This window comes from Homo sapiens, chromosome X (genome assembly GCF_000001405.40).
Source record: "Homo sapiens chromosome X, GRCh38.p14 Primary Assembly".
In the NCBI taxonomy this organism is placed as follows: domain Eukaryota; kingdom Metazoa; phylum Chordata; class Mammalia; order Primates; family Hominidae; genus Homo; species Homo sapiens.
In genome coordinates, this window is record NC_000023.11 from 32489620 (window position 1) to 32504114 (window position 14495).

General features: G+C 33.4%; 1 protein-coding gene across 17 annotated transcripts in view; it reads right to left on the reverse strand.

The window, feature by feature from the left end:
- Positions 1-14495, reverse strand: part of DMD (dystrophin) — a 2220167-nt gene that overhangs the window by 1370398 nt on the left and 835274 nt on the right. For all 17 annotated transcript variants that reach the window (XM_006724469.4, NM_000109.4, XM_011545467.2 and 14 more), the window contains 2 exon segments: positions 12136-12223; positions 1658-1899 (listed from right to left, as the gene is read on the reverse strand). In XM_006724469.4, coding sequence (XP_006724532.1) covers positions 1658-1899; positions 12136-12223 — 330 coding nt within the window.

A 14495-nucleotide genomic window follows, 5' to 3' on the forward strand; every position in this document is an offset into this window, starting at 1 on the left:
GTCTGTGGTATTTATTGTGGCAGACTCAGCTGATTAATACACTCAGTAGCATTCTTAAACACATTAGAGACACTTAATGTATATATTTTATGCATGAATGTACTGTGTAGGTACTATTACTAACTACTATATCTGAATCTCAAGAATCGGATAAGGTAACATCAGATTTTTGTGGCAAGAAATAATGTATTTGGATTATTCCTCTGATTCACAGGAAAAGCGGCATTGGTTCTATTCTTAAATTACAAAATGCATCTCAATGTAGAAATTCCTTAGATGTGTGTATTTGCCTAACAAGTCAAGTGCCTTATCCAAGGTATTCTTTATCCAAAAGTATACTTTCTGAGTTTATTTCCTCAGCAAACTAACACAAGAACAGAAAACCTAATAATGCTACAGGTCCGATATTTGAAGAACCATTAAGTCCTTCAATTGTTTTTCTCTTCAAAATAGCTTTGAATTTCTCATCACTTTTTGGGTCCAATACCTTTTCTAAATCAACCTTGTCACCTTTCCATGTCTATTCTACCTTTATTTAAGCCATTCTTTTTTACAGTATGCAAATGAATCTCCACTCCTTGCCTTTTGTATTAAATGTAATCATCTCGATCTATCACTAAACGTTCATCCTGGAAACGTTTTAGTCCATCCTCTAATCAGTTTCTCATTCCCCGCGAAAAGCACATAGCTCATAGTAACAATGAAAACAGTTTAGGCTATTTTCATTATTATACAGCTCTTGTTTTCTTACACTTGAAGGCATAATCCTTTCATCTCTTTCTCAGGCCCTTTTGTCCACTTACATCTTGTTTGCCCCTCCAGATCCACTGTCCGCTCTTCTCCTGTTACCCAGGAGACTGATATTTACAGATGACGGTTCCTTGTCCTTTGTCTTACGATTAAGTTTAGTCAGTGAGGAGCCCTGACAAGATTCTGGAGGCAGGGAAAAAAGTGAAGTGGGGTGTTTATTTGTCTGACTCCATTTCTATGAGGATTCCTTAAGCCGGCCATGCTGCTTTTACCATGAGGATCTGACTGTCTCCTTCTGAGTTTCTATAACTGCTCTCTCACTGATCCTTTCTGGACTAAAAGGGGTAAGAACTCTGATGCTGGGTTACTACACTATCCGGTGTGGTTCCTCTGTACTCCAGCTACATTTTAAAAATATCTTTTTGTAAAGAAACCTTCCTCAAATTATCGTAATTTGAGAGGTCCATCAGTTTTAAATATTTTCCTTATGTATCTAGTTATACTGCATCCAAGCTTGTTGTTGACCCGTGTTTCTAACTATTTCCATGGATTCCACTTTTTCAAAATGACTATGTTTCACTCGTCACAAAGAAAGAGTTCCAAAGTGAGAGGCCATTTTTTACAGGATACATGTGGTTTCCACACTCCTAAACTGCCTCATGCTTACGCAAACCGACACAATCAATTAGCGCTGTGTAACTACGCCAAATACAATTTTAGAATCCGGGTATCTACGTCTTACATATTTAAACAGATTTCTGTTGCTTACATTTTGAACTTTATTGCGCTTAGCTAAATCCTTAGAAGGTGAACGTTTCATTACTAAATAATTTGTTACTGTCTTCTTGGAAATTGCCAAGAAATACCTATTGATTATGCTCCAAATGGAAGGAGAAGAGATTCTTACCTTACAAATTTTTAACTGACTTTTAATTGCTGTTGGCTCTGATGGGGTGGTGGGTTGGATTTTCAACCAGTTTTCAGCAGTAGTTGTCATCTGCTCCAATTGTTGTAGCTGATTATAGAAAGCGATGATGTTGTTCTGATACTCCAGCCAGTTAAGTCTCTCACTTAGCAACTGGCAGAATTCGATCCACCGGCTGTTCAGTTGTTCTGAGGCTTGTTTGATGCTATCTGCATTAACACCCTCTAGAAAGAAAAAAATAATTAAATATATCCCCTGAACCCACAGACTGAAAGAAATGATCTGAAAGCCAACACATCCTAATTATAAAAGTATTCACCACATGAATGATTTCAAACCAGATCAATTATTTTCTAAGATATAAATGTGTAAATATGATTTCAGATTATTCAATGTGAATTATCAGACTTGCGTCACAACAATGAATATCAATGCCATCAAGTAATAAGACATAAGATGTAGAAAATTAGAATATATGTAAATAAAATATTAAATAAAAACTTAAATAAAAACAAAAGTGCTCAAAGCTCTGATGGGAGCTGGAAGGCTGCATGAACAAGTAACATTTTGGATGTTTTCAGATACATTTTACATATCATACATATTACTCAAATATACTTCCCCAAACTAACTTACATTTTTAATTTTAAAAATGGGCTTGGAAATTAGTTTAAATAGTATTTTCATAGTTTTAAAAAGAGGAAAAAAAATCCAAGATTATTCTTTATTTCATTTACAGAAGATTAGAAATAAACAGATTGTCGGCTGGGCACGGTGGCTCATGCCTATAATTCCAACACTTTGGGAGGCCGAGGTGGGGGATCACGGCATCGGGAGATCAAGACCATCCTGGCTAACACGGTGAAACCCCGTCTCTACTAAAAATACAAAAAATTAGCCGGGCGTGGTGGCGGGCGCCTGGGGTTCCAGCTACTCGGGAGGCTGAGGCAGGAGAATGGCGTGAACCCGGGAGGCGGAGCTTGCAGTGAGCGGAGATCGCGCCACTGCACTCCAGCCTGGGTGACAGAGCGAGACTCTGTCTCATATTGTCCATGGATGCGAGGAAGAAAAACAAGTACTAGGAAAAATAATCTTTCTAATGTGAAACATTTTTAAATTTATAAATGTAGAAGTTGATCTCAAAGTTTTAAAATCATCTGTAGTAATACCAAACCCAGAAAACTTTATCAAGGGAAAAATGGAAACACAAGCATATCATTATCACCATTACCATTCTGGAGTACCTACTATGTACCATGGAATATGCTATGTCATTTCATATATGACGAACGCCAGTCCAAGTACATATTATTCCATACATAGCATGAAAGCATGGCAACATCACGCTGTGCTATGGGTTAAAATATTCAAACTCTCTAAAGTTAGTTTACAAAATTTAGACTTTCTTAGATTTATTAGCTTATATAGTTTTCTTAATGACAGAATATAAAAGAGAAAATATATTACATATGATATCATGCATTTTTAAACATAGCTACATTAGCACTGATAACTTTCTTATACTTTGGAAATACTGAATATTTAAATGTTTTATGTTCCCTCATGTACCTACAGAGATCTCAAAAGAACATAAACTCACTGTAAGGTTCTTTCTCTAGGTTAAAATACCTAAAAGTTCGAAGAGTAGTTTGGTAGAAGAGTAGGTTGCCTAAGATAATCTACTTTTATAAATGTTCATTTTACTTAATTTTCTGGTAATATAATTTAGTTAAAGGGAAGCTAAGTTCTTAAAAAGTCTGAAGAACGTCTCTAGAAACATAAGGCCTGTGGTTTTGCTAACTTGCACATGCCTCCCACTTTATCCTTTTTAAAGACTAAAAAAAATATAGATGTGAATTCAACAACTATATTATTTTATCCTCTTTCACTTCCCTCTGCCCTGATAGTCTAATGTTCTATTTGTCATAATGATATTAATGCTGCCAAACCATGTCCCTCAATTCATTTGAAACACAACTGTAACTTCACTAATTTCAAAGCATAATGCTACTCAGGATGGCGGTGAAGGAGACAAACTTTGCAAATATTATCGTCAACTATTTTCCCCTCCTTCTTCCCTGATATATTTTTAATGAGATACAATGGAAATAATAGAATGTAAAAAGAATATATACATGGCTCCATATATCTAAGTATAAAAGAAGTCCGTGGCCTACAGGAGCTACATATTCTAATATCCTCCTAATGCTTAAGGAAGCAATTGTGACATGCTGTTTTTGATCGTTAGATTTTGAGGAGTGATCAAAAATTGTACCAAAATATTTGTTAAGCGATGCGATTAAGTAACTGTTGTTATAAAATGACCACATTTGGTATAAAGTGTAAGAGAAGAATATGAAACTTCAATCGTATGAGCACTCCGTTTGAAAAAAGTATTATGATAAAACGTTAACATTTCTGGAAAATAAAAAGATAATTAGAAAATATACTGGACAGAATTTTTAAATTATGTTAATAACAAAAAATGTGGCATGGATCTAAATGATCAGATATTTAGGAGAAATATTTTCAGCATATGTTGAACTTGAACAAGCAGTTAGAAGTCCATGAAGGGTGAAACGTCAACATGAACCAGGTATTAAACAGGCAAAAAAGAAATGCTAAATTAAAGGGACCGATAGACTGATGCTGGATTGAGTCTTATTCAACATTTGTCTAAATGAGACGGGAACACAGAGAGAAATCACTTTGTGTCCCTGAGAAAGGTCAACCATACAAATCGTAGCAAATGAAAAAATGAAACTATAAGTTGATTTTCAATATGGATATGTTAATTTTGTTAAATGATAAAACTACAGTGAAGTACCAATAGGCTCTGCAGTATCCGTTAAAATCTAGGGACAGGTTTTAATGAGTCATTGTTGATCATTACACAAAACTCTATGTTTTGCCCCCCAAAAAATGTTGCAATATATCACTGTAAAAGAAATTTAAATGGTGAAGAAAAGTCAGCTTTGTACAAATTCATAACACTGAAATTTATAATACGCTCTATTTATTTGCATATTGATCTTTATAACTGAATGCAGGCAATGAAAATGCAGTGATAGGTAAAAGAACGACATCTATAATAGCAAAAAGGGGGAGGCAGGCAGAAAGGCAGAGAAATGACCGGTGAGAATTCTGGCGTTAAAGAGACCGGAGTTCAAATTTGATGCCCCTTACTAGATGTGTGAAATGGGTTCAGTTACTTAATTTCACTGGATCTTGTTTTTCTCATCCATGAAATGAGGATTAAAAATAGAATCGACCTCATAGGATACTTACCAAAGTTCTGAGTTAACATATATAACTTACTTATAACAAATGCTGACACATACTAGGCAACAAAGACATATTAGACAATGCCATATAGAGGAAATGAAAAAGAATATTCAGAAAACAAGGGACCAGCTCTCTTGTGTGAAAATTAGGGGGAGAGGAAGTCTTCTTAATGACTGAAACAGGACATGTATAAAAAGTTAATAATACTATTTTAAAATTAGTCCTAATTTTATATAATATATGACTAATATGGGATATAGAAGGTGTATTTATACATTTTTTAAAGAAGTTTTATCAATAACCAGGGATCCTTTGAGACCAGGAGTTCGAGGCTGCACTGAGCTATGATTGCATCACTGTATTCTAGCCTGGGCAACAGAGCAAGAGCCTGTCACCAACTAAAATAAAAATAAAAAGAGTTTATTTGGGAATCCTGGAATATTCTGCCACATTTATAATCATGTGAGATTGAAGTTATAAAGAAACGAAAACATTTCAAAAAAAACGTGGAAATTTCTAGATGTTACTAGAAAAGACATAATGTTGGGCACAGAAAATCAGAAGTCTTGCTATGAAGGATTTGTATGCAAACATTGTATTAATTCATTGTGAATATGCTGCCTGCTCAACAAGGGCATAAACTGTCCTTCTAAACTATAAACTCCTATAGGAAATGTCTCCACTGGCAGTATCTAATAGAATTCTCAGCTTGGAGTAGAAAGAGTATAACTACACTGTACTCATGAACTCATTCAATACCAAATCAATAGTGTACTCTATATGAATATAAAAATTATGAGACCAATGTACACTGAAGCCAAAAGCCATACACAAACAAGCACACAATCTCTCTTGTATCAAATTTGCTTTAAAATACTTGGGCAGGGGATGGAGAGGATGGTCACGTTACTTACTGACACTGTCACGTTAATAACCGACACTGTCACATTACTTAATGTACCTCTCTTCAATTAAAATGAGAAATGCTATTACTTCAACTTTATGAATTAATTGACCATCTAAATGCCAGAACTACTGTTGATTTTCTAAGAAAGTCCATTAAAACCTTTCTAGAATGAAAAAGGGTTCAAAGCGTTATCCAAGTAAATATTTGCATATGGATTTTATTATTATATATAATTGTTTTATATGTATTCCATAGAATTATGCTCCTTGACTCAATGGAAAATTTTAACTTTTCTAAGAGTTTGTAAGTGTAAATATCTGAAAAGTTTTAAGTATCAATCATCTGAGCATCTGTTTTCTAATTTTGTGTTAGCTATTTAAGAATACAAATACTAACACACCAGGCATTATGAGCAATACTTATGGAAACCATTTTGTTGTAGCACATTAGAATCTCAGGGATAATGGATCATAATCCATTCACATCTCATATTCTAAACAACCCCTGAAATAGTCTGTGAATAAATATATTGCACCCAGAGGAAATGGATCATTACTTGAAGTGTATCCATTAATTTTATTACTTGTGTACAGTGCATAACAGACTGTTAGAATAATGTTAAATGTGCACCACCTTCCATGCAAGTACTTCAGAACTGCCACTTAAAGTGAAGTATTCCTCATCAAGTATATTCATCATTAGCCATGAAGCCAGGGTAGAATAACACAAAACAAGTGTTTCCAGAGCTCTTGAATTAAAAGAATATTTGGAATAGAAACTTAAAATAAAGCTGCTAATAAACAGTCTCCTATTTTTGCTGAACTTTAAGTGAGGGTTATTACAAGTCCATTTAGCATTCAATGTAATAGTCTAAAATGTAATATAGAGATATTCAAAACCTGTGAAGACAAGTTCTGAGGCTAAATTTTAGAGGTTTCTGTGACCACACTGACTTAAAGTAATAGCTTTTAAAAATTAATAGTATATATAAAAGTAATACCCCTAGTGAGGGCAATATAAATTTTACTAATATAGCCCTTTTGCGTTTTTATTTTCAAACATCATAAAATTAAAAAAAGTCAGATTTTTACTCATATTTGTTTTGGCCACTCATTTCCCACAACAACAGTGACAACAACAGTCTCTTTCTTTCACACACATGGACACACACACGCACATGTCTGCGCATGCGAGTTCACCCGTGCATGCACGCCGTGCTCACACACACCCACAGAGGCTCTTCCTTTTGGAGATTAGACTTAAACGAAGAAAAATGTGCCTGTCAATTAAAAACATTTATTGAATGTGAACTCTGTGTAGAGCATTATACTAAGTGTCATGTGGAGAAAGAAGAAATATAAATCAAACTGCCCAGTACTGAGGAAGGAATAAGAGAAGAGGAAATATATGCAACTGTGGAAGGCTACTCATTCATGATGAAGGGGCTGGGCTACTACAAGTGGTACAGTCTCCATGCCACATTTGTATACAGACTATTTGCAATATGTCTTGCCATTAAAATATATGATTAGAAGACTTGCTGCTACTGAAAGTTTTTCCAGTGATCATGAGAGTTTTAGCTTTGAGATGAGCCAGACTGACCATAATCCCTACCCTCACCCATCTGACAAAATCTGGTTGCCCACCTCAAATAACATAATTCATGTGAAATTATCTAATGAGCTATGAACCAAAATACAAGAAAAAAAGATAGTTACTTGGTTAATGTTATGGATAAGAAGAGCTCTCGTCAGTGTTATCATTCTGTGCCATTTAATTACAACAGTTAGCATACTTATTATCAGGTATCACCTTAAACACTATAATCTAGCACTCAGGGAATGATAGTTTTGAGATGTTCTTTAGTCTAATATACTAATAATTACTACTTTTATTTAAACATGTCCTTGATGTGACTGTCCTTAGACTCTTAATTAACACACAGAAAACTACAAATAGAAATTGAAAATGAATCACAATTTAACTAACCCTATTACATAATTATAGTATCTCCTCTAGAAATTATGGTGAAAGGATCTTAGAGACTAAAGAACGAGAACCTGAGCTACGCCTACATATGTTTTCAAATAAATGTTTTGATATGGTCATCTTTTGGTAATTTCAGTATTAATATGGAAAACCAGTTTATCTAAACTAGGCTTTTTTGTGTTATGCCTGATTGATGAGACTGTATGTACTCATGCGAGAACACTGTTTTACAAAAAGGATTACGTCTAATCCTAAATAGATAAAAACAGACATATGTTTAGGTATAATCATATGTATATTATTTTAGCCCTAGGTTGTCCTAAAACTCCACAATCTCAATAATACACTGAAAGGCCTTGGTCATGAAAGGCATCAGTTTAAAGACTGTTCAAATTAAAATCTTAGAAAACCATTATTAGTTAGCAATATTATTAAAGCATTAGAAAGATTACTTACTATATTTAATGGCTAAATTTTTCTAAATTTCTAAATTATTTATAACATTTTGTATTTAAATTAAGAAATGTAAAAATAAACCTTAAAGTTATATCACATCTTTCTTAAAAAGTAAAATAAAGAATTTGGAAACTCCCTTTTCAATATGCACAGCTACATGAATATATAAATACATCACTAGATACCTGGTCTAGCCTCTCACTTGCCCTCATTAAGTTAACAGTTTCCTGAGACCAGGGTTATGATCCAAAGCTTACATATTGACGGTAAGCTGCATGAAAATTACAGCTATCCAAAAATGTCTCTAGTAAAAAGAGGTACTTTGCACCATCCAATATTCTGTCACATTTATCCAACCAATTAATGCTGACATAAGAACAGTAAATTAATTTTAATGTTAGTTCAAACAAAAAATACAGCTAAGATAGAGATAAATCAGTTAAAAATTATACCAAAATTTCATGCCAAAATGCCAGAAACGTGATTTTTTTTTTTAGTTAACACTCTCCTTTTAGTAGCTTCTCTTTTTAGTCTATGATCGTGAAAGATCACTTCTACTCTGACCAAAAGAACTGGAACATCCATAAGGAAAACGTCCATGTATAGTTTTAAAGCAGGCAAGGAATTTGGCCAACTCATTTCTTTGGTTAAAAATTCCAAATAAATTAGTAAGAATCTCTTACGGTCAATAAACTCTTAATATACAAATTATTGCTGTAAAATTAATGATATGGTTAATATTAACTGTTTTAAAATTCTGCATACAACTCTTCACATTTGATAAAATACAGTGAAAATAAAAAGTATCTTCCAATTGATCATAAAACTTGTATGTGACACTGAAAAACTGTACATATGTTACTAGACATACTGTTTCTAGAACGTACAACTGATTTTTAACAATACTTTGCACCATCAAATGAGGTTCCCTTCTACATTGTAACCATGGTAAATTTTGTACTTTCAACAACCTTAACACCCTATCCTGTCTTCTCAGCATATGTCTTAAATTCCTTCAACAAATTGCCTTCAGGACAAACAGATTTTGTTTTCTGCATTACTTAAGTGATGTTGAATCTTCAATGCTTCATAGACATTTAGAAACGGACAGAAATCATTTGGAAATATGTCTGATGTACCATTTCAGGTCAAAACTGAAGTAAAATTTAAGTTATGAGAAATTATTTTTTCCATCTTGGAATTTCATTCTAAAAGCAAACTGATGAATTACAAAATTATTCTAAATTTTTAAAAAGTAGTTTAATCTTAGGGCAAATTATTTTAAGTAGAAAATTCAGTTTGCTATGCATATACCAGTATAGATACATATAAAATATAGTTCACAGAATTTTTTAAAATCTATAATAGCTATACTTATGCTATTCTACATATTTTTACACTATGAATATATGTTAAATATTTTCACTGTGGTAAGCACACATCAAATTTATAAATATATACGCACATATTTTTATTAGTGGCATAATAATATGAGTGGTTTATACAAGAGTGGTTCATCTTTATCTTAACTTCTGAGGAAACTATACGTGGTTAAGAGGAACAGCCATTTACATGAGGTCCTAAATGAAGCACACTGATTCAGCTCTCATTTTCCTTTCTATACAAAAAGGGCAAGAATGTATGTGTCTTACGTGGTTGTGAGATTTATTATATCTCCATAGCCTAAGCTTGGGAAGGAAGATTCTGGACTTATAAATTTAAGAGCTTTAATGCAATAATTGCTGGACTCCTAGTTTACAGAAAGCTTCATTTGTCTTTCAGCTTCATGAGCTACACCACTCAACTGTACTTTTGGGCTCTATACTAAAGGAGCTATTATGATTTAGGGTAGCAGTCCCTCTGAAATACACCTGAAGGGGTACTTCAGGCACTTAATATGTGTCTAGCTTATCTCACAATTTGCACAATCACAGAAAATAAATATTATGCAATTTGTTCCTTGAACGACAAAAACGGAACAAATAGATAAGTTAGAATATTTGAGCCTTTAAGTAATTTCATAAATTATTTTATTTAATGGGGAAACAGAGCTATGGTCATTTTAAGTAGTCATCCTAGTTATGGCCCAAACTTGAGCCTAATGACGTATCAGTTCGACCATATCTTTACTGGTAGAACAAAAGGGTAGCATAAAATTTGATTAACACAGTCAACCAAACAGGAATGTCTCAAATCACACCCCTACCCCCCAGTGTTCCCTGGTATCTGCCAAAGTTAGCATTTTCCTTCAGATGGATTATTATTTTCACACCAAAATTACCAACGTTATTACCTCAACGACTGCCTTAATTTTGCTTTTCTAAACAGAATCTGGTCAATTAATATTTACTAAGCACCTACTATGTGTCCTGACTTTTCTACATGCCTCCAAAAATTAGAACTATGAGGGAAATAATCAAGAAAATTAATATTCTCACTAGTCACACGATCATTTAAATCCTGCATGTAGTTTTACTTACCAAAAATTAAAAATCATTCCCGTAATTTCTAAATGTTTAAATTATTTCTGATTAATTCAGTGTAGGTAAGCTTGATATATAACTATGACATGAGACCATTTAAAGTATAGCTCTTGCATCAGCTTATTAAAATGAAAAAGTGATAATACAGTTTCTAGGGGGAACTTACATAACAACTAGGAGAATATTTTTAGATCACATAATTTTATTTAACATGAATATGCTGTTAAGTTGATCAGTTAAAATTACCAAGCAACATACATCTAAATAAAAATCTACTGGTATTTTCATTACCTGTTCTTAAACTTGTTCACTCAAGTCTCACCTGTTATATTTGTTTGTTTTCATTTTTAACCAAATACAGTCAGTCATGGGACTCATTAGAAGAAGAAAATGAATTGATTTTCTAGGAAGACCACTGAACTTTTGAATGCCAAATTTGCAATTAAGGCAAAAAATAACTTATACACAGAATTTATGCCCCAAAATGCAGGCAGATTCTGAAAAAAGCTGACATGCACAACAAAAACATTTGTTGTATTTATTTATGATGTTCTTGTAAACGTCTTCTACAAAATGAAAAATAATCTTATTTGGAAATAGCATTATCCCTGATTTTCGTAAAATTTTATCTGGAAATATAGTAGTATAGCAATGATAATTTGAAAGAAGGTTGTTTACATATCATGTCAATGACACATTTGGTACACATAACTTTTGAGGCACTGAGTATTAGAAAAGATTAATTTTAATTTATTCTTGAAAAAGAAAGACAAAAACTTGGCTAGCTTTGTGCTTTTATCTCACTCTAAAAAAGTTACTTAAAAGTAAAGGTTATCCCGAAGAGACTTCTTTTTTAAATGAGAGGAAGTGATAAAAAGTAACACAGAAAATGTCATATATATTATTACAAAACAGGAATGACGGTAAAACATTCCATATAATTTTAGTGTTTGGAAAAACATATTGCAAAAATGATTTAAAATCAGATGATGATCAGTTTTACACATATAACATGACTGTTAATGTTTTCAAATTTCTGTTAACCTTATTTTCTTAAATTATTTGGATAAATTCTAGCAGATTTGCATTAAAATTTATTTCTCTGCTACAGACTGATAAAATATTCTACCACATCCCATTTTCTTCCAATGAACTCAAAGTTGAATTTCTCCTAATAATTTCCTTAGCATTAAAAAAAGAATAATAAAAAACATACAAACACCTTTTAATTTAAATTTGTATTTAACAAGTGCTTGTCTGATATAATTCAGCTGATAAATATGAACCTATGTGTTTATCAAATCCCTAAGAAGATTATCTAAATCAACTCGTGTAATTACCATTCACCATCTGTTCCACCAGGGCCTGAGCTGATCTGCTGGCATCTTGCAGTTTTCTGAACTTCTCAGCTTTTTCTCGCTCTATGGCCTGCAGCATGAGAGCAAAGATGAGTAATTCAATACAAGGACTGTGAATCTACACAATAATTATAACTTCTACTTGCCCTTTCAAGCCTTAAGATGTTTCACTCTGTCAGCTTATCACGTGAATCTAAAGACTTTTTCTCAACACTTTTGCCATCAAAAACATCAAAATGGCAATAAAAGCATGAGCCATTTTCATGACTTGCTACAACTTTTAATTATAAGATTTCTACTCAGCTTTTTTTTACATTATAGTTTCTGATACATTTCAACGCAAGACTGCAAAAAGTAAAAAGGCAATTCATAACAATGAAAGATAAAGTGTCACATAACTAAAATGAAATTTATCTTTTAAAGATACACCATTGAAATTACTAATAAGTATATAGGCGGTATTAAAAATCAAATTGAGAATCCAGTATGTATATAAGATGGAAAAAATAAACTACCATAAATAATTTAGCAGAAATATATAATATATGTACATATATATTTAAATACCAGGCTGTAGGCTAATTTTTCTTTCAAAAATAATCAAAGTACTCCTATTTCCAAGGAAGACAAGATTGAGTTTCAAAAAACTTTCTGAATTCCTTTATTTCCCTTAAGAGTTACATTTTGAACCACAAATGCAAAATTATTTCAGTTAACAATAGCCAGAATTTCATACTATTGAGTTTAGCTAATAATATTCCTATGGAGACATAAATTTTAAACTATGACAGAGTAGAACTACATTACTATAATCATCAAGAAGTGTTGACTATAACAATGTGTATGTCCTAAAACATAACTATTCAAATAACTATAACGCAATTAAAATATAGTAAGAACAACACACCTGTGACTTAACAATCATATTATAACAAAGATTTCTCTTGAATTTGAGGCAGAAGGTTATTCTACATGAGACTATTTTTTAAGACTTCATTTACATCCACAGGCATTTAAAAAAATATTTCCAGGTAAAATACTGGAGTACAGATGGGAGGGCAAATAACAGATACATGGACAGTCTGCACCACTGTTGAGTATAAATTTGTGCAGGGATGGAAATGATCTGTATCTGTGTCATCCAATATGATAGCCAATAACCACATGTGGGTATTCAGCACTTGAAAGGTGGTCAGCATGACTTGAAAATAAAAGAATATTTAATTTAATCTAATTTTATTTATTTTAAATAATTTAAAATTTAAAGGTTACATGTGACCAGTGTTAACTGTGATTGTACAGCGCAGATCTAATACATTCCTTTAAAAGCAAATAGTTAAGAGATAGGCCTGTAATCCGAGCTACTCAGAAGGCCTGGGCAGGAAGACTGCTTCAGTCCAGGGATTTGAGATCAGCCTAGGCAAAATCGAGAGACCTCCATCTCTAAACAAACAATTTTAAAAAATTAGTCAGGCGTGGTGACAGGAGCCTGTAGTCCCAGCTACTCAGGAATCTGAGGCAGAAGGACTGCTTGAGCACAGTAGTCTGAGTAGGCTGCAACGAACTATCATTGCGCCACTGTACTCCAGCCTGGGCGACAGAGGGAAACTCTTTCATATAATATGGCAATATCAGAAATAGTTGCAGAGAAAAAGTAATCATCTAGACAACACTATTTACTAAGCACATTAAATTATGTAAATGCTTATACAATAATCCACATATTTTTATGTATCTGAAAAGACTATCTAATTTAAAGAAATAGCTACAAATGTAAAGCTTTTTGTTTTTGTTTCTCTTTGAGACAGAGTCTCACTCTGTCGCCCAGGCTGGAGTGCAGTGGCATGATCTCAGCTCACTGCAACCTCTGCCTCCCGGGTTCAAGCAACTCTCCTGCTTCAGCCTCCCGAGTAGCCGGGATTACAGGCGTGCACCACCACGCCCAGCTAATTTTTGTATTTTTAGTAGAGACAGGGTTTCACCATGTTGGCCAGGCTGGTCTCAAACTCCTGACCTCATCATCCGCCCAGCTCAGTGCTGGGGTGGGGCGGGGGGATTACAGGTGTGAGCCACCGTGCCTGGCCTGAATAAAGGTTTTCTTAAAAATTTATTTTAAAGAGTTTCCTAAGTGGGAGACCTGACGATATCTGACTTCAAGGCTTGATATAAAACTGCAGTAATCAAGACAGAGTAATATTGGCAAAAGAACAGACAGGTAAATCAATGGAACAGAATAGAAAGCTCAGAAACAGATCCACATAAATATAATCAATTGATTTTTGGCAAAGGAACCAAGGCAATACAGTGGAGAAAAAGTCTTTAAACAAATGGTCCTGAACAAC